General features: G+C 46.2%; 1 protein-coding gene and 1 pseudogene across 4 annotated transcripts in view, besides 5 other annotated features; both read right to left on the bottom strand.

The window, feature by feature from the left end:
• AGAP1 (ArfGAP with GTPase domain, ankyrin repeat and PH domain 1) overlaps positions 1-20,232 on the bottom strand; it is a 637,751-nt gene that overhangs the window by 53,490 nt on the left and 564,029 nt on the right. The gene's annotated exons all lie outside the window — the stretch shown is intronic.
• Positions 2,334-2,838: an enhancer, noted in NCBI's record as "H3K4me1 hESC enhancer chr2:236984110-236984614 (GRCh37/hg19 assembly coordinates)". NCBI's record gives its function as "activates a minimal SCP1, AML or CMV promoter by ChIP-STARR-seq in primed H9 embryonic stem cells {active_cell/tissue: H9 hESC(primed)}" and the evidence as "EXISTENCE:reporter gene assay evidence [ECO:0000049][PMID:30033119]".
• Positions 3,845-4,345: an enhancer, noted in NCBI's record as "H3K4me1 hESC enhancer chr2:236982603-236983103 (GRCh37/hg19 assembly coordinates)". NCBI's record gives its function as "activates a minimal SCP1, AML or CMV promoter by ChIP-STARR-seq in primed H9 embryonic stem cells {active_cell/tissue: H9 hESC(primed)}" and the evidence as "EXISTENCE:reporter gene assay evidence [ECO:0000049][PMID:30033119]".
• Positions 5,748-6,009, bottom strand: RN7SL204P (RNA, 7SL, cytoplasmic 204, pseudogene; annotated as a pseudogene).
• Positions 6,628-7,129: an enhancer, noted in NCBI's record as "H3K27ac hESC enhancer chr2:236979819-236980320 (GRCh37/hg19 assembly coordinates)". NCBI's record gives its function as "activates a minimal SCP1, AML or CMV promoter by ChIP-STARR-seq in naive H9 embryonic stem cells {active_cell/tissue: H9 hESC(naive)}" and the evidence as "EXISTENCE:reporter gene assay evidence [ECO:0000049][PMID:30033119]".
• Positions 15,558-16,188: an enhancer, noted in NCBI's record as "H3K27ac-H3K4me1 hESC enhancer chr2:236970760-236971390 (GRCh37/hg19 assembly coordinates)". NCBI's record gives its function as "activates a minimal SCP1, AML or CMV promoter by ChIP-STARR-seq in primed H9 embryonic stem cells {active_cell/tissue: H9 hESC(primed)}" and the evidence as "EXISTENCE:reporter gene assay evidence [ECO:0000049][PMID:30033119]".
• Positions 16,189-16,820: an enhancer, noted in NCBI's record as "H3K27ac-H3K4me1 hESC enhancer chr2:236970128-236970759 (GRCh37/hg19 assembly coordinates)". NCBI's record gives its function as "activates a minimal SCP1, AML or CMV promoter by ChIP-STARR-seq in primed H9 embryonic stem cells {active_cell/tissue: H9 hESC(primed)}" and the evidence as "EXISTENCE:reporter gene assay evidence [ECO:0000049][PMID:30033119]".

The following is a 20,232-nucleotide window of genomic DNA, read 5'->3' as shown; positions in this document are numbered from 1 at the left end:
CAAAGAGCAAAAAACAGGTTTCGTGATGATGAAATCCTACATCAAGCATGCAGCATTAACTTCTGCCCGAGTTTCCAGAACGCCGGCCTGCACTACACACTTCAGATGTGACACACACACATACATATACACACACACACACACACACCCCCGGCTGGCCTGCCCTACACACTTCAGATTACACACATGCACACACACACCAGCTGGCCTGCCCTACACACTTCAGATTACACACACACACACACACACACACACACACACACACAAATTGGTTGTTTCTCTGGAGAACCCTGATGGATACAGCATGGCTGTGAGCAGAGCAAAGACCCAATTGAAGCAGAGCCCTATCGCTGTGAGGCTGGCAGTGACCCAGGGGAGACGCAAGGTGAGAAAGAACAGATGTACACAGAGGGCACCACCCTTCTGGAGAGCAGCACAGTGATGTTGGATCAATACCTGAAAAAGTCCACAGCCTTTGACCTCATTTGGCTCCTTCTAGAAACTCATCCTTAGAAATGAATTAATCATAAGCCCCATAAGCTGTATTCACAAATGTGCTCAACCCAGCGGTATTTCAATATTTCATTGCAAACCCATGTCCAAGGGGGATGACTATGTAATGACGGCTCAACCATGGACGGATTATTGTGACACCACTAAAAATAACGCTTTAAAAGACATACATGGCTGGGGGTGGTGGCTCATGCCTGTAATCCCAGCACTTTGGGAGGCCAAGGTGGGTGGATCACCTGAGGTTAGGAATTTGAGACAAGCCTGACCAATATGATGAAACCCCGTCTCTACTAAAAATACAAAAATTAGCTGGCCGTGGTGGCACGCACCTGTAATCCCAGCTACTCGGGAGGCTGAGGCAGGACAATCACTTGAACATGGGAGGCGGAGGTTGCAGTGAGCTGAGATCGCGCCACTGCACTCCAGCCTGGGCAACAGAGCGAAACTGTCTCAAAAAAAAAAAAAAAGAGACATACATAAGGACATGAGAAGATGTTCATGATATAGTTTTAGCCCAAAAAAGGCTCTTAAATTCTTTAAAGCACTGTTTCTTTTCACAAATGTTGCAGAGGAAGACTACATGTAATATGTCAAACATTAACTGATTATCTCTCGGGGGTTGGAATATGAATATATATATATATATATTTTTTTTTTTTTTTTTCTACTCTTTTTTTCTTTGAGACAGGGTCTCACTATGTTGCCCAGGCTGGAGTGCAGGGGCACAATCATAGCTTACTGCAACCTCCTCCTCCCAGACTCAAGCGATCCTCCCGCCTCAGCCTCTGGAGTAGCTGGGACACAGACATGCACCACCATGCCTGGCTTTTTTTTTTTGGGTATTTTCTGTAGTGACAGGGTTTTGCCATGTTGCCCTGGCTGGTCTTGAACTCCTAGGCTCAAGCAATCTGCCCACCTTGGCCTCCCAAAGTGCTGGGATTACAGGCATGAGACCCTGTGCTGGGACTATTTTTCTACTCTGTAGGATACAGTCACTTCCCAAAATGTAGCCCTGGCTCACTGGAGGCATTTCTCTAGGAAGTGGTCTGTTGCCAGGTATGCTCATAGCGCTGGGGCTTCCCTCTTTAGTGGTTTGGGAAATTATTAAGTGCCACAAAGAAGCCTCTGTAATTTTGTTTAATCCAGTTCTCAAACACAACTCATTTTCCAGAAACATCTATCATCATTCTCTGAGATTAAAATTTCTAGGAGTATACTGTGGAAATCATGGCTTTCCCAGATTCCACGGTGTCCTGGGTCACACACTGAGAAGGTCAGGACAGCTTGTTATGGGCCATGTGCAAAGCCGTCAGGAAGTGAACATTCTCAAGACTTTATTTTTTTTTGAGATGGAGTCTCACTCTGTCACCCAGGCTGGAGTACAATGGTGTGGTCTCGACTCACTGTAACCTCTGCCTCCAGGGTTCAAGCAATTCTGCCTCAGCCTCCCAAGTAGCTGGGATTATGGGCTCATGCCACCATGCCTGGCTAATTTTTGTATTTGTAGTAGATGGGGGTTCACCATGTTGGCCAGGCTGGTCTCGAACTCCTGACCTCAAGTGATCCACCCACTTTGGCCTCTCAAAGTGCTGGGATTACAGGCATGAGCCACGGCGCCCCGCCTCAAGACTTTAAAAAACTCCACAATATTCTCTTGTGAAACCAATCTGACTTTCAATTCCTAGATCTGATTGAGGGGTGTCTCTGAAGGAGGACTGTTATGACAGCACGGGTCTTGGGCCTTGGTGAGGAGCAGAGCTGCCCCCAGACCCCTGGTCCATGTGAGGGGGCGGCACCGCCTCCGCCTGGGTGACCCACGCTGCCCCGGCCTCCTCTGCAGCATGGCCCCTGCTCTCACTCCCTGCGGAGGTTTGCTCTAATGGAACTTCTGCTGCTTCCTCTGAATGTTTGTCTGCCTTCTCCAAATAAATTTCAGATTGAGTCACCTATTTGGCCACAGATTCCAAAGCTAGAATCAATGGCGGCATCTTGATGACACTGGGCAGCAATCAGCTCTCACTGCTGTTTGTCAAAGGCTCCTCTTGAGACCTCTGTCAGGGACGCAGAAAGGCCTGTGAGGTTTGGGAAGAGCTTGAAGGGGCTATAAGCTCCTCAAAGCAGCGGAGGAGAAAGCAGCTCCTCAAAGCTCCTGGGGGGCTTCCCCTGGAGGCCACTGAGGGGCATGTCGGCTATTTCCAGTGCTGAAAGACCCTGGCAGGTCCCATATTTACCTGGAAGGCTTTGAAAACCAAGGAAAAAGATCTGGGCCCAGCTTCCTTGATCCTCACCCAAGGCCAGAACACAGTTCACTATTACGATGTCCAAGGGGGCAGCAGCGGGGACCCTTTGCGGCTTCATCCCCCATTCATCTGTCTTATGTTTTCCTTAGTTTTCTTAATAAACTGGGAGCCCTTGGGGGTGGGGATGGGCAGTACCAAGTCTTCTTTTTTCCCCAACAGCTGTATTAAGGTATAATTTACATATCATAAAATCTACCTGTTTTTAGGGATACACTTCAGTGATTTCTAGTAAAAAAAACCCAGCGCGCAACCATCACCAGAATCTGGTTTAGAACGTTTCTGCCACCCCTGAAAGATTCCTCATGCCCACCTGAAATTTTCCTTTCCACACCGACGCAACCGCTTCTCCTTCTATCTCTACAGACTGGCCTTTTCTGAGACGCCATGTAAACCGAATCAATCACTTATAGATCTTTTGTGTCTCGCTTTTTTCTTTTTGAGAGAAGGTCTGTCTCTATCGTCTAAGCTGGAGTGCAGTGGAGTGATCTTGGCTCACTGCAACCTCCACCTCTCGGGCTCAAACCACCCTTCCACCTCAGCCTCCTGAGTAGCTAGGACTACACGCGTGCAACCATGCCTGGCTAATTTCTGTATTTTTTGTAGAGATGGGGTTTTGCCATGCGGTCCAGGCTGGTCTTGAACTCATGAGCTCAACTGATGCGCATGCTTCAGCCTCTCAAATTGCTGGAATTACAGGCATGAGCCACCATGCCCAGCCTGGTTTCTTTCACTGAGAACTCAACCTTTATGTTAATTCTATAGACTTTTAAGTAAAAGAAAACAGGAAATGGAAATAAAAACCAAATCTGAGTGTGCTTTGCACTGAAGAAATTTTTGGTCATTGTCTAATTCAATAAATGTTTCGTAACATTTTTACACATTTATTTTGGTTGAGTGTGGTTCAGAAATACCTACTGTATGTAGATGTTAGGTTTTATGGAGACTATTATCTCGTAAGAGCAAATGGACTCTTTCAATGTTTAGAATGAACTTGAAATTGCTGAGCTTAAGCTTGTAAAAATTAAGAACAGCCTGTGCCATGCCAGATAAAAACTGCTCATTAACTTCCCAGAGTGCAGAGTGTGCACAGAACACCCAGTATCTTTATATGCTGATCCAAAGTCGTCCCAAAGAAATGGCTAAAGCTTTTACAGTTGATTCTATGGGGAGGGAGTGGAGAGAATCACACACTTCCCAAGCTAGCAGGGGCTCCCCGGGGGTCTTCTTGTTTAGCCTCTCCCTTGCAGAGGGTACTGATGTTAGGAGAAGTCACTTATGCTGACTTGTGGCCCAAATGGTCCAGGAAGGCAAGGTTTCTCACTAGGGCCCCTACCGCGTCAAGCTGCTCCTCAGAGTCAGCTGGTATGCAATGGAGAAACCTCTCATGCAAACTGTCACTGGATCTCTACAGCTAGCAGGGGCTCCCCAGCCCCCCACCACGCTGGGACAATCCAGGATGTCTCCAGGCATTTCCAAATGTCCCCAGGGGGCAGATCAGCCCCAGGTGAGAACCTGTGCTCCTGGAGGAGACCTTGGCACCCAGAGGGTGGTTCTTGAGCTGGGATGTGCAGCGGAAATGCTTGGGGGGAGGGGCATGCCCAGGCCAACCAGCATAGTGTGATTCTGGGGGTCTGGTGGGGGGCTGCAGGTCTCCTGCAGATTCTAAAGTGTGTTGAGAAGGCCACGGGAGACGGTGGGGTAAAGCCATGTTTGCAGCCCATGTGAACAAGCTGACCTGCCTGTACCCCCACCACCAATGAAGTTACAAGTTACAAAAGGTTAAGTGGCATCTAAGCTCAAAGTTGCTGTGGTGGGCCCTGGAGTTAAGACCAGGTTACTTAATCGCCATTCTCAGGTTATGTTATAGGTATTTATAAATTATCTTCTATGTGAGCATCATTACAAGGTCCTTGTCAAAGCCTAACTTACAACAATTACTCCTGACTGGCGCAACACCAAGATGGTATAATCCAATATCTCCAGTCCCCAGCTGTTTTGCAAGCTGTTTTGCAGCATGTTTTGCAAGCTGATAGGGCAAATGTAACTCCTGTCCTGATAAGCTATCTAGACCCATGATTGCCAAACATGGGCCACATGTGGCCATCAGATGCTTGAAACGTGGCTAGTCCTAATGGAGATGTGCTGTGTGAAATAACCTACTGATGTGTCAAAGGCTCAGAATAAAAGAAGAATATAGGCCAGGCACGGTGGCTCACATCTGTAATCCCAGCACTTTGGGAGGCCGAGGCGGGTGGTTCACGAGGTCAGGAGTTCGAGACCAGCCTGGCCAATATGGAGAAACCCCGTCTCTACTAAAAAATACAAAAATTAGCCAGGCGTGGTGGCGTGCGCCTGTAATCCCAGCTACTCGGGGGACCAAGGCAGGAGAATCGCTCGAATCTGGGAGGCGGAAGTTGCAGTGAGCTGAGATTGCACCACTGCACTCCAGCCTGGAGACACAGCGAGACTGTCTAGGAAAAAAAAAAAAAGAATATAAATATCTCCTGAATGCTTTTTTACATTGCTTGCTATGCTGAATTGACATGTTACATACACTGGGTTAACTACATTATTAAAATTACTTCCATCAGGTTCTTTTGACTTTTTAACATGCAGCTACTAGAAAATTTAAAACAACACATATGGCTCCTGGTATAGTTCAGCTGGACAGCAGACAGTGGTATGGCAGGTAAGACATTAGAGGGGAAAATGTAAGAAAAGACTATTTTTGGGCTAGATGCAGTGCCTCACTCCTGTAATCCTAGCACTTTGGGAGGCCAAGGCGGCAGGATCACTTGAAGTCAGGAATTTGAGCCAACCTGGCTAACAAAGTGAGATCCTGTCTATACTCACCTACCTACATAAATAAATAAATTAAATTAAATTTAGCTGGGCATGGTAGCTCATACCTGTAGTCCTGACTACTCAGGCAGCTGAGGCAGGAGGAGCCCTTGAGCCCAGGAGTTTAAGGCTGCAGTGAGCCATGATCACACCACTGTACTCCACTCTGGGCAAGAGGGTGAGACCCTATCTCTTTTTTTTTTTTTGAGACAGAGTCTTGCTCTGTCGCCGGGCTGGAGTGCAGCGGTGCGATCTTGGCTCACTCACTGCAAGCTCTGCCTCCCGGGTTCAAGCGATTCTCCTGCCTCAGCCTCCAGAGTAGCTGGGACTACAGGCGCGCACCACCGCGCCCAGCTAATTTTTTGTATTTTTAGTAGAGATGGAGTTTCACCATGTTGGCCAAGATGGTCTCGATCTCTTGGCCTTGTGATCTGTCTGCCTTGGCCTCCCAAAGTCCTGGGATTATAGGCGTGAGCCACTGTGCCCGGTGACCTTATCTCTAAAAAAAAAAAAAAAAAAAAAAACCCACAACGAAGACTACTTTTGGAGAGAACAGACAGGAGAGACAAAAGCTTTTTTTGAGAATTGAAAAACCACAGGATATGTGAGTTTTTTTAAAAAAAGTTTAGTTCTCTCCTAGAGATGGGCCAGGGACACCATTTGAAGGAGAGTCATCCGGTGTCTTTGGACAATTTTAAGTTTACCACAACGGTGGATAATTCCAAGATCTGGATTGGTTTTTAAAACCAAGAAAAATTACGACTCTGTGTGCCAGCCGCAGGCAGCTGTGGTGCTCCAACCTGTCTGTCTCAGGAGGCTGCTGGGAGCTTCCAGAAGACCCTGAACAGGGGCTGAGCAGCAGCGAAACTCCCCAGCAACACTGGGGAGCACTCCTATGCTGCTGGCCATTTTTTTCCTTCTTCATTTCTGTTATTAAAACTCTCACTTTTAATTCAGCTCTTTCAGACAGATCAGCCCAAATGGCTTTCCTAGGCTGGTCCTGGCCAGTCCACCGCAGATCAGGCAGGTCTTCCTGCATCGCACTGCAGATTCACAAACACTGGCTGAACTGTTTACCGTGAGTCCCCTCTGCACACACAGCACACATAAGGGTCTGTAGATCGCATGGCCCCAGTGTGGTTCTGGGAGAGTGGCTGTTGAACAAATAAATGTTCCAGATTGTATGTATCCTTGGGGTCAGGCCCTGCCACCCCAAGCCAGGTCCTCACAGTCCCTTGGGTGGGCTCTGTTCTCTGTGCTAGAACCAATCCTTCCAGGAGTGGCTGGGACCACCGAGGTGCTCAGCAGGAAGCCATCTGCAGGCCAGGTGGGCTCAGACTTGGTCCATGACTGTCCCAGACAGTTCACAAACCCCTTTTATGGTCTCAAATAAAATCTGTTGGACACTTCAAAAATCCTGCATATTTAGCCTGAGTGCTTCTTTGATTTTCTAAAAAGGATTATTCGGGGCTAAGGCCACTGATGTCAAAGAAATGAACCAGCGCTGCCCTCCAAGCCCGACTGGGCAGGTGGTTCCCATCTTCTCACTCCATGCCGGCAAAGCCGTGGGCTTCCTTAACGGTCTCAGAAACATGATCTCCTCTAGCTTTGTTTAAAACTCAGAACATGCTCTCTTTGATTTTTCCCACCACTTAAAATGTGGCATATCTTTTCTTTTTTCTAACAGCTTTGCTGAGATGTAATTCACATACCCTACGATTCACTCATCTCCAAATGCACCATTCAATGGTTTTAGCATTTTTCAGAGTCATGGAACCACCATGACAACCAATTTGGGGACATTTTGATCACCCCAAAAAGAAGTCCCACTCCCATGAGCAAGCACTGCCCATCCCCCTGATGCCTCCCCGCCCCTGCCCCGGCCCAGGGCCACCCCAATCCACTTTCTGTCCGTATGGATTGGCCTATTCTGGCCATTTCATGTAATTACACGGTATGAAGTCTTTTGTGACTGGCTTCATAATGTTGAAGGTGCATTTACGTTGTAGTATACATCAATGCTTTAGTCTTTTCTGTGGCTGAACAATATTCCATTGTGTGGATACACCATATTTTGTTTATGCATTCATTGGTGGATAGACATTTTAGTTTGTTTCCACTGTGTAGCTAATAGGAACGATGCTGCCATGAACATTTATGTGCAAGTTTCTGTGTGAACGCAGGTTTCATTTCTCTTGTGGATACGCCTAGGGGTGGAAGTGGTAGGCCACAGAGTAGCCCCGTAATTTCACTAAAACTTCAGAGGAACTCATAACTTTATAGATGCTCCTCAGCTGCTAAGAGTCCTTCAGAATTAGCCTGAGGATTTCAATGCTGCTCTTTCTCATTCATCTGGGTAGGTGAGCATGGTGTCCGGACGCTGCCCCTAACCACTCGCCCTGATGCCAAATCCAAACCAAGAGCAAACTGGGAACAAAAGGAGAACTAGCAGGTCCACTTCCAGAGGAGGAAACTGAGTCTGGGGAGGGTGCGGGTCATGGCTGCACAGCTTTCGGGAGCAATGTGGGGGTCACACCCCAGTGGTACTCCTAACACGAATGCTCTCATACAGCGCCACAGCCAGCAGATGCCAGGGCTCTAGGCGCCACTGACAGTGGACCAGTGTGCCCTTGGGTGGCGTCAGCCACCACTGTCACACTGGGTGAAAGGCAAGCCATGCCATTCATGTCAATGACACATTCCCGGCCCTCTACGGCTCTGATGTCATAGATAGCTTATTAAAAATCTAACCAAATTTTTAAAATGGCAGAAAATTAGAAAATAAAGATAAGCAATAAATAAGAATAAATCAGAACCCTATCCCCTAGAGAAAGTGTCACAATTAACAATTTGGGGTACACAATATTTTAACAGAATACCATAACTATCTCCCCATGTAATCACATTTTCACCTGCATCATCACATTTCCAGGTGCAGTGGCTCACTCCGGTAATCCCAGCACTTTGGGAGGCTGAGGTGGGCAGATCACTTGAGGTCAGGCGTTCAAGACCAGCCTGGCCAACATGGTGAAACCCCGTCTCTACTAAAAATACAAAAGTTAGCCAGGCGTGGTGGCGTGTGCCTGTAATCCCAGCTATTTGGGAGGCTGAGGCAGGAGAATCACTTGAACCTGGGAGGCAGAGGTTGCAGTGAGCCGAGGTTGTGCCACTGCACTCCAGACTGGGTGACAGAGGGAGCCTCTGTATCGAAAGAAAAACAAAGTTGCACTGTTTATATCATGTGCTATGCTCATATGTATAAATAATGCATATACTTACCATGTAAAATTTATACATTATATATAATTCATTACATTATATGAAATGTAAGATTTTATGATATATATTCAATTATACATCATAACGTATGTATATTTACATTGCATTGTCACGTGTACACGACAAAATCATGTATTTTATATAATGTAACTATATGCATTACTTGCATACTAAAGTAATAATTTATTTAATTGCCTATTTTGAATTTTTGCTTTATTTAAAATTTCTTTCTTTTTTTTTTTTTAAGATGGAGTCTCACGCTGTTGCCCAGGCTGGAGCGCACTAGCGTGATCTCGGCTCACTGCAACCTTCACCTCGCGGGTTCAAGTGATTCTTCTGCCTCAGCCTCCCGAGCAGTTTGGATTACAGGCATGCACCACCATGCCCAGCTAATTTTTGTATTTTTAGTAGAGACGGGGTTTCACCATGTTGACCAGGATGGTCTCGATCTCCTGACCTCATGATCCGCCTGCCTTGGCCTCCCAAAGTGCTAGGATTACAGGCGTGAACCACCATGCCTAGCCTACATCCTTCAGTTTTTAGGATAAATTTTTTTTTTTTTTTTTTTTTTTTGAGACGGAGTCTCGCTGTCGCCCAGGCTGGAGTGCAGTGGCGCGATCTTGGCTCACTGCAAGCTCTGCCTCTCGGGTTCACGCCATTCTCCTGCCTCAGCCTCCTGAGTAGCTGGGACTACAGGCGCCCGCCACCACGCCCGGCTAATTTTTTGTATTTTTAGTAGAGACGGGGTTTCACCGTGTTAGCCAGGATGGTCTCGATCTCCTGACCTCGTGATCCGCCCGCCTCGGCCTCCGAAAGTGCTGGGATTACAGGCGTGAGCCACCGCGCCCGGCCTAGGATAAATGTTAAGAGAAGAACTGCTAGGTCAAAAAGCATATCATTTTAAAGGCTATTGACACATATTGCCAAGTTCCTTCCAGGAAGGTTTCCCCAACTTTCACTCTTACCAGCAGTGCCAGAGGAGAGGAGAGGGAGTTGGCCAACAGGAAGGGTTATTATATTATGGAACAAAACGACCTTTGTTTTTTACCATCAGATGTTTCACAGTGATCTGCGCTAGCTATTTGATTTTTTGTTTTTTTGAGATGGAGTCTTGCTCTGTTGCCCAGGCTGGAGTGTAGTGGCGTGATCTTGGCTCACTACAACCTCTGCCTCCTGGATTCAAGCAATTCTCCTGCCTCAGCCTCCGAGTAGCTGGGATTACAGGCACATGCCACAACGCCCAGCTAAATTTCGTATTTTTAGCAGAGATGGGGTTTCACCATGTTGGCCGGGCTGGTCTCAAACTTCTGACTTCAGGCAATCTGCCTGCCTTGGCTTCCCAAAGTGCTGGGATTACAGGTGTGAGCCACCACACCCAGCCAATTATTTGATTTTAGTAAGAGCCACTCTGTCTTACAGGAACATACACAACATGTCCTTCTCTTTGCCAGATGAGATAGCACAGGACGGATGGCTGACCCTGACAGCCCGGTGGCTATGATTTGGAACATGATGCAAAACATCCAGGAACGGTCATTACTCTTTGGATTCCATGAGACTCTTGTGAAAAACACTCGCTCTTCCTCGTCTCACCTCACGTGAACACGGCATACTGGAAAGGATGTGCGGAACGTCTGTTAAGAGATGAGGTTTCTTCCCCAGAACAGAGAAAAGACAGGACCCCATTCTCTTCTTCCAATACGTGTTACTCCCAGTCTTGGCCACATCATCTAGCGCATAGTAACATAGATTATTTCACACTACTTCCTAAGAAAATAATCAGATTGTCTTTCCAGAAACATCTTTACTTTCTCAAATGGGCTAGCTCAATACTAGGCATTTCTGTAGATACTGAAGACTTGTCCTGCCCACCTGATTTAGCATTATAGCAAATATGACAGGTAGACATAGTATTTTTCATTATAATTTTTAACGATGTTTCTGAACTTGCTCAGAGTGTCTCACTCTTACAAGTTTTTCTCCTTTAAAAGCGTAGTGATTTTTCCTTAAAAAAACTAATAGATGACTTCTATTTAGAACTTAGCCCTCTATTGAGAAGATTAGGTGTTCAGCATTGTGTTATATATATTGTTCATTTAATTCTTGAAATCATCCTGATGAGGCAGGTACTACACTTACCCCTCACTTGGCAGAATGGGAAACTGAGGCACAGTGAGGGTGAACATCCAGCCCGGGTCACACAGCAAGCCAGTGGTAAAGACCAGGTTGGATGCTGCCAGTCTGACCTGAGTTGGAACTCTGAACCCCAACTCCAGAAGCAGATCTACACAGAGTACATCTGACTTACAGTAAACTCTTAGGTCTCAGTGATAAAAAAAAAAAAAATTGGTTGGTGAAGAAGACATTTTCAGATATTCCCTTACATGGGGAAAATGTATCATTGGTAGATAAACAATTCTTTTCAATTACATTTTTGAGTGATAGTAGCCAGGCACAAAAACGTATATACCATATAATTCCATTTCCATGAATTTTCTAAGAGGCAAAACTAACCTATCCTGACAGATGTCAGATTCATGGCTGCTTCTGAACAGGGAGAATAAACAGGAGGGGGGACAGGGGAAGTTCCTGGGGTGATAGGAATATTATTGATAGACCTATGCAGTTATCAAAACCAACTGAATTGATTGTATACTCAAAATGTGTGTAATGCAGTATGCAAATTATACCCCAATATAAATTTTTTAAAAAGCTAAAAGAATAATATACCACTTGCTCTGGATAATCCAACCATTTTAAGAGTTCATGATTTATCTCAACAATCTCAAAAGAATGGCATGATACTGGGACCTTAAGAATGAGGTATTCAAAATTCTAGTAATTTGGCTGGGCACAGTGTCCCGCGCCTGTAATCCCAGCACTTTGGGAGGCCGACGCGGGTGGATCAATTGAGCTCAGGAATTTGACACCAGTCTGGCCAACATGGCGAAACCCCATCTCTACTAAAAATACGAAAATGAACTGGGCGTGGTGGCAGGTGTCTGTAGTCCCAACTACTCAGGAGGCTGAGGCAGGAGAATCACTTGAGTCCAGGAGGCAGAGGTTGCAGTGAACTGAGATTGTGCCACTGCACCAGCTAGGGCGACAGAGTGAGACTCTGTCTCAAAAAACAAAAACAAAAACAATAAAAAACAAAAACCAAAATTCTAGTAATTTGTGCATTCACTGCAGCCTGCAAATCAGGGCTTCCTGAGGCCCATGTGTCAGTAAACGGATTTGCACAGTGAGTGTCCCCTCCAGAGCTTGGGCAGGGTGGCCCTAGTGGGACAAGCAATGGAAGAAGGGTTTTCAGGACACATGGGCAAGCCATTACTGAGGGCACATCCCACTGAGGGCCACGAGTAGTGACTCTGATGTTGCTGACACATGCCGACCACAGTGCCACCCTGGCCATCAGACAGCTACTCCCTAGAATCTCAGCACAACAGCTGGGGACAAGCACAGTGACTTGTCACGTTTAATGATGCAAGGATTTTCCCATCTGATAAGGAAGCTGCTGGACAGAAGGAAGGACTCTGGAAGGCTTTGCTGAAAGCAGTGCTAGATGGTGGGTCCTAAGGCTTCATTTGCCCTGAAGCCCAACTGGGTGCCACAGAGCTCCACAACCCAGCAGGAGGCAGCTGTCAGAAGAGCCCCATTTTTAAAAGGATGATGGAGATGATGTGTTCCGGCAACAATGGGACCCCACTCGCTTGCCTTAGGAAGCAGGATTTTGTTGTAAATATGCACATTTAAAAGCGTTCCTTTTTCTAAGCTCTGCAGCCCCTGTGGGCCTCCCTTTCGATAATCACCCAACTGTCCACAGGCTGGCCGAACACTGTTCCTATTCCAGAGAGAGCCTGATGGAGTGTTAGCAACATGTCAGAAAAGGTTTCTAGGCTGCCTGCGAACAGAACATTTAGGGGAGCTTTCTTTGATGGCTGCTTCACAGCCAGATGAAAACCGCCCACGGGGCGAGTGTATTTCAGAAATAAAATGCATCCAGTCGAATGCAGAGTCACAAGCAGGCAGCAACAATAGGGGCCCGAGGAGCTGAAGACACCACCACCGACACTCCTAACTCAAAGCCAATGGACGTGCCCCTGTGTGCGAATAAGTTATTGAACTTCCCTTGGCTTGGCAATTTCAAAACCACAAGTGGGAACGTCAGGAACAGAGCCTTTTCCAATGCTGTGTTGAAACCCAGAGGTTTTGACGAAGCCCGTGATGAAGGCAGCACGTAAGCCTTCCGGCCTCCGATAAGCTGCTGTCTGTCTGTATCTGCCTCACCTCTCCAGCAGTATCAGTCAGGCTGATGCTCCATGGAGCCTTTGCCTGGCCACTTACTTCCACTTCCTTTTTTTATCAGTCATATATCATGACCCTAACTTTAGTTTTTGGAAAGAAAACAATGAAAAAGTAACACAATCTCTCAAATATTTATTGAGTATCTACTATGGCTCCTCTGGAATATTACAGAACAGGTGATTATTCTTGTTTTCATTTTATGTGTTTAGAAAGGTATAGTTTGGCAATTTAGAATGAAAACATATTCCTCTTTCTCAGTTCATTCCTTCCACACCCCCAAAGAATTCTCCGAGGAAGGGTGCGAGGCTCTTCCAGGTCTTTTCACGTGCTGTTTAAAGGATACCAGCAATCAGCTGGTGGGAGCTGATCCTGGGTCCCTCTGCAGCAGTGTGGGTTTAATTTTTGGAGGGCTCTTTCCATGCTCCTCAGCAGGAGTGCTACTGGCATTTTGTTATTTATTTAGTTTTAAGACGGAGTCCCGCTCTGTTGTCCAGAATGCAGTGCAGTGGCACGATCTCAGCTCACTGCAACCTCCGCCTCCCGAGTTCAAGTGAGTCTCCTGCCTCAGCCTCCTGAGTAGCTGGGATTACAGATGTGTGCCACTATGCCTGGCCAATTTTTGTATTTTTTTTTTAGTACAGACAGGATTTCAACATGTTGGCCAGGCAGGTCTCAAACTCCCAACCTCAAGTGATCCACCCACCTCGGCCTCCCCAAAGTGCTGGGATTACAGGCGCGAGCCACGGCAGAGCAAATTTTCACGTGTAGGAGTGTCCTGGGCTTTAGCATTTGAGGCTGAAAGCTACTAGAGGCATTTGCAGCCATAACTCCATGCTCCTAAGCCACGCTGTTGGCTTCTCTCAGGAGTCTCTGGGTGACAGGTTCACAGGCTAATTCTGGCTTGGTCCAAGTCACTGGGTTAATTATAGGCAAGTCACTTTTCCTGTCTGGGTGTCATCTTCTCTGATTTTAAACAGTTATCTCCTAATTTCATTAAGATGGCAAGGATCAGCATGAAGACATTGTGGCAGCTCTTCGAGGTCCTTGAGGAGAGACTTATAGGTAAGTCATCATGATTATGTATGTATCCTCCAGGGTCATTTGTATTAGATCACGTACATCAGAGATGCTTTTTATATGAGTGGGTCCCTAAAATTGAGTGATGTGTGCTCCAGATAATGTTCATCTTCCAGACCCCTGGTTGATGAAATTTTGTATCAGTTATAAATGACATTTAATTATTTGAAGCTTTAATGGTATTGTCACTGCTGTTCTCCCTTTCTGGGCCTCAAGTAATTCTGTGAAGTCAGATCTCTGCAGCCAGGAGTGGCTTGCTTTGTCCCACTGGCCTCGGACAGTTTGCCTCTAAAGCCCAGTGACCCAGTCACAAAGCCAAGACTGCAAAGGTGAGGCTGGGCCTCTGCTACACTGGGTGGCCAGCCTAGAAATCAATCAATTAATCTTGTCGAAATCACCAGCACAAATGTGTGCAACTTTTACCTTTCTTAACATGAAAATAATCTCGTCAAGATTTTACAACTGGAATTACCTTTTGTGTGTTTTGCTTGTTGTTTAAAGGCCTCATCATCCTCCCAATGGCCCAAGAAAGAAAACTAAACATCAACATGGATGCTTGTCTTTCCCACACCCCACATTCACTTTGGTTAAGAGCCACCATTCCTGGTGGCTCATGCCTGTAATCCCAGCACTTTGGGAGGTCGAGGCCAGTGGATCACTTGGGGGTCAGAAGTTCAAGACCAGCTTGGCCAACATGGTGAAACCCCGTCTCTACTAAATATACAAAAATTAGCCATTAATGGTGGCGGGTACCTGTAATCCCAGGTGGGAGGCTGAGGCAGGAGAATCACTTGAACCTGGGAGGTGGAGGTTGCAGTGAGCTGAGATTGTGCCACTGCACTGTAGCCTGGGCAAAAGAGCAAGACTCTGGCTCAAAAAAAATAAAAGTCCTGAGTACAGCGGGGCGCAGTGCCTCACCCCTGTAATCCCAGCGCTTTGGGAGGCCAAGGCAGGAGGATCACTGGAGGCCAGGATCCCTGCCTGGGCAACATAGTGAGACCCCCATCTCTTAAAAAAATAGCTGATGGCCAGGCACGGTGGCTCATACTTGTAATCCCAGCACTCTGGGAGGCCAAGGTGGGTGGATCATGAGGTCAGGAGTTCAAGACCAGCCTGGCCAAGATGGTGAAACCCCATCTCTACTAAAAATACAAACATTAGCTGGGTAAGGTGGCGGGAGCCTGTAATCCCAGCTACTTGGGAGGCTGAGGCAGAGAATTTGCTTGAACCCAGGAGGTGGAGGTTGCAGTGAGCCAAGATTGCTCCACTGCACTCCAGCCTGGGTGACAGAGTGAGATTCCATCTCAAACAAACAAACAAAAACAAACAAACAAACAAACAAAATAGCTGAGTGTGGAGGCATGTGGCTGTAGTCCCAGCTACTTGGGAGGCTGACTAGGTAGGATTGCTTGAGCCTGGGAGTCTGGGGTTGCAGTAAGCTATGATCATGCCACTGCATTCAAGCCTGTGTGATAGAGTGAGATTCTGTTTCTAAAAAAAATACATGAAAATAAATGAAAAGTAACAACAACAACAACAACAACAACAAAATACGAGTCCTGAGTATGCTCCTAGAATCCCATACCAGCCTGGCTCTGCCTCCCTCCCCTCCCCTCTGGCCATGGCTTCCTCTAGGGAGGTCAGATCTGGGGTGGGTTCTGGCCCGTCCTGCATTCACAGGCTCAGGGAGACACAGGCCTGAGTTTCCTAGCCCAGGAAAAGGAAAGAATGGCATTGGTTTGCTGTGCGGATTCCAAGAGGCAGGGCTTGTCAAGTGCCTGATCTCTCCCAGGGACTCCCAGTATCTGGTGGTGATGATCGCTGATTCAGGCTCACTTGCTCCCCTGGACATAGGCACCACCTTCCACCTGCTCTCGCTCCCCTGTGGGCCGTCCGCAGGGCAGGAATTTGGCTGCAGTGCACATCCTGCTCAGAGCTCTACTCCCCAGGCCTGAGGAGGGGCAGCCACGCCAGCCCTCGGCCCGCACCCAGGCCCCCGCCACCCAGCATGCGTTCCTGTACGCCTGCACCTTTGCTCCAGCTGCTCTTTGTGGAACGCCCTGGCTCATCTGTTTTCCTTTGGAAATTCCTTTTTTTTTTTTTTCAAAATTGACATAATTTATATACCATAAAATTCACACTTTAAAAGTGTACAACTCAGTGGTTTTTAGTATATTTGCAAGGATGTACAACCATCACTACTATGTAAATCCAGATCATTTTCGTTGTCTCCAAAAGAAGTTTCGTACTCATTAGGCAATCACTCCGTATACGCCACTGCCCCTCCCTCCCCTGCACCTGGCAAGCAGGAATCTACTTTGCATTACTATGGAGGTGCCTGTTTTCGCCATCAGACAGATGGAATGGTACACGGTGTGGCCTTCTGTGCCTGCTTCCTTTCCTTTAGCATCATGTCTTCGAGGTTCACCCACGTTACAACCTGTATCCACACTTCACTCCTTCCCATGGCAGAATCACGTTCTGGTGTACGGACAGACCATGTTTTGTTCACCCATTCATCCACAGAGGGACACCTGGGTTACTTTCACTTTTTGGCTATTATGAATGATGTTGCTGTGAACACTCAGGTGTACATTTTTGTGTGGACAAGTGTTTTCATTTATCTTAGGTATAGACCTGGGGGAGGAATGGCTGGGTCATACGGTAACTCTAGGTTTAACTTTTCGAGGAAGTGCCAGACTATCTTCCCAAGTGGCTGCACCAGTGTCTCCACGTTCCTCACCAACACTTGCCACGACCGTCCAAGAGCACGTGCGGTGGGGGCTCAAGGGTGATCTGCATTTCCCTAAAAAGTAATGACATTAGGCATCTTTTCATGTATTTACTGGCCATTTTTATATTTTCTGGAGAAATGTCTATTTAGAGTCTTAGCCCATTTTTATTTTTTACTTATTTTATTTTTCAGACGAGGTCTTGTTCTGTTATCCAGGCTAGAGTGGAGTGACGTGATAACGGCTCACTGCAACCTCAAACTCCTGGGCTCAAGAGGTCCTCCCACCTCAGCCTCCCAGGTAGCTGGGACTACAGGTGTGCCCCACTGTGCCCAGCTAATTTTTAAAAGTTTTTGTAGAGGTGGGGTCTCACTATGTTGATCAGGCAGGTCTTGAGATGCTGGCCTCAAGTGATCCTCCTGCCTCAGCCTCCCCACATGCTGGGATTACGGGCATGAGCCTCCATGCCCAGCTCTTTGCCCATGTTTAAATTGGACAATCTACCTTCTATTGTTGAGTTTTAAGTATTCTTTTTTTTAATTTAAATTTTTATTTTTTTGAGATGGGGTCTCACTCTGCGGCCCAGGCTGGAGTGCAGTGGTGCGATCACGGCTCACTGCAGCCTTGACCTCCTAGGCTCAAGCAATCCTCCTGCCTCAGCCGCCTGAGTAGCTTACCTATGACCACAGGTGCACGTCACCATACCTGGCTAATGTTTTTTATTTTTTATAGAGATGGGGTATCCCTATGCTGTCCAGACTGGTGTCAAACTCCTGGGCTCCAGTGATCCTCCCACCTTGGCCTCCCAAAGTGCTAGGGTTACAGGCATGAGCCATCATGCCCACCTGTAACCGTTCTTTATATATTCTGGATACCAGATCCCTACTGGATATTTAATTTTCAAATGTTTTCACCCATTCTGTGCATTTTTACTTTTCTGACACTGCCCTTTGAAGCACTAAAATTTTTAATTTGGCTAATATTCAATTTATCTATTTTTTCTTTTATTGCTTGCACTTTAGGTATCATATCTAAGAAACCACTGCCTAATCTAAAGTCACAAAGATTTACCCCGTATTTTCTTCTAAAAGTTTTATAGTTTCAGTTTTTGCACTCAAGGCTTTGATCAATCTGGAATTAATTTGTGTGTGTGTGTGTGTTTTGAGACGAAGTCTTGCTCTGTCACCCAGGCTGGAGTGCAGTGGTGCGATCTCGGCTCACTGCAACCTCCAACTCTTGGGTTCAAGTGATTATTCTACCTCAGCCTCCCAAGTAGCTGGCGTTACAGGTGCATGCCACCATGCCCAGCTAATTTTTCTATTTTTAGGAGAGACGGGGTTTCACCATGTTGGCCAGGCTGGTCTTGAACTCCTGACCTCAAGTGTCCACCCGCCTCAGCCTCCCAAAGTGCTAGGATTACAGGTGTTGGAGTTAATTTTTATATATAGCATTAGATAAGAGTCTAACTTCATTCTTTCACAAGTGGATATCCAGTTGTCCCAGCACCACTTCCTAAAAAGACTATTCCTTCCCCATTGATGGGGAAGATGTCTTGGCATCTTTTTTGGAAATCAACTGCCCACCGATGAAGGGGCTCATTTCTGGACTCTCGATTCCGCTTCATTGACGTGTGTGTCTATTTTTACACCAATATCACACAGGCTTGGATCACCATGCTTTTGCAGTAAATTCTGAAATCAGAAAGTGTGAGATCTCCAACTTCTTCATTCTTTTTTCAAGACCGTTTTGATATTTGACGGTCTCTTACTGTGCCATATGAATTTTAGGATTAGCTGTCAAATTTCTGGGAAAAAAACAGGCAGCTGAGATTCTGAAAGTGATTTTGCCGACTCTGTACATCGATTTGAAGAGTACTGCCATATTCCAATCCGTGAACATGATGTCTTTTCATTTACTTAGGTCTTCTTTAATTTCTTTCGATGATGCTTTGTAGTTTTCAGTGTACAGGTAATTTATTTCTAAGTATATTACTCTTTTTGATGCTATTTGTAAATGGAACTGTCCTTAATTTTATTTTGATTGTCCACTGCTAGTGTACAGAAAGAAATACAATAGAATTTTTTTTTTTTTTAAAGATACGGTCTTGTTATTTTGCCCAGGCTGGTCTTGAACTCCTAGCTTCAAGTAATCCTCCAGCCTCAGCCTCCCAAAACATTGGGATTTAAGGTATGAGCCACTGCACCTGGCCTTTTTGATTTTTTAAGAGTCAGAGTCTTGCTCTGTTCCCCAGGCTGGAAAGTGGTGGTGCGATTGTGGCCCACTGCAGCCTTGAAATCCTGGGCTCAAGCAATCCTCCTGCCTGAGCCTCTTGAGTAGCTGGGACTACAGAACTGTGCCACCATGGCCAGCTAAGAGTTTTGCACATTGATCTTGTATCCTTCAATTTTGCTTAACATGTTTCTTATGGGTTCCTTAGGATTTTCCACATAAAAGATTATGTCATCTGGAAATGGAGGTAGTTTTACTTCTTTTCAAATCTGGATGCTTTTGGTTTCTTCTTCTTGCCTAATTCCCTGGCTTGAACCTCCAGTATAATGCTGAACAGATCTGGTGACATTCTTGTCTTGTTTGTGATCTTAGGGGAAAAGCCTGCAGTATTTCACCATAAAGTACAATGTTAGCTGTGGGTTTTTTAGAGATGTCCTTTATCAGGTTCAGCAAGTTTCCTTTTATTTCTAGTTTGCTGAGTGTTTGTTACCATGAAAGGGCACGTGGTTTTGTCAAATGTATTTTCTGTATCCCTTGAAAAGATTATGTTTTCTTCTCTCTTTACTGTATTAATGTGGTATATCACATTGATTGATTTTTGCGTGTCGAACCAACCTTGCCTTCCTTGCATTCAGTGCCACCTGATCACAGAGTCTAATCCTCTTGTAGATGCTCTCTGGCTGTAACATCTGCTGGGATATACTGGATATGCTAAGCCAGACAACAGTCTGGTAAAGGAAGAAAACAGAAGACCTGGGTCTAAAGAAGTGAGGAATGAAGTCCAGGGACTTGGATTAACACAGTGAGTTCACAGGCAAGATTGTGGACTTTTATTTTTACTACTTAGTGCAGACCAGAGTGTCTCAAACTTTAATGTGCATAAGAATTACCTAGAGAGTTAAAACACACCACTGGACCCTACCCCCTAGGGATGCTGACTGGGTAGGCTTGGG

The sequence above is a fragment of the Homo sapiens genome, chromosome 2 (assembly GCF_000001405.40).
Source record: "Homo sapiens chromosome 2, GRCh38.p14 Primary Assembly".
Classification (NCBI taxonomy): Eukaryota; Metazoa; Chordata; class Mammalia; order Primates; family Hominidae; genus Homo; species Homo sapiens.
This window is presented reverse-complemented; position numbering and strand designations above follow the sequence as displayed.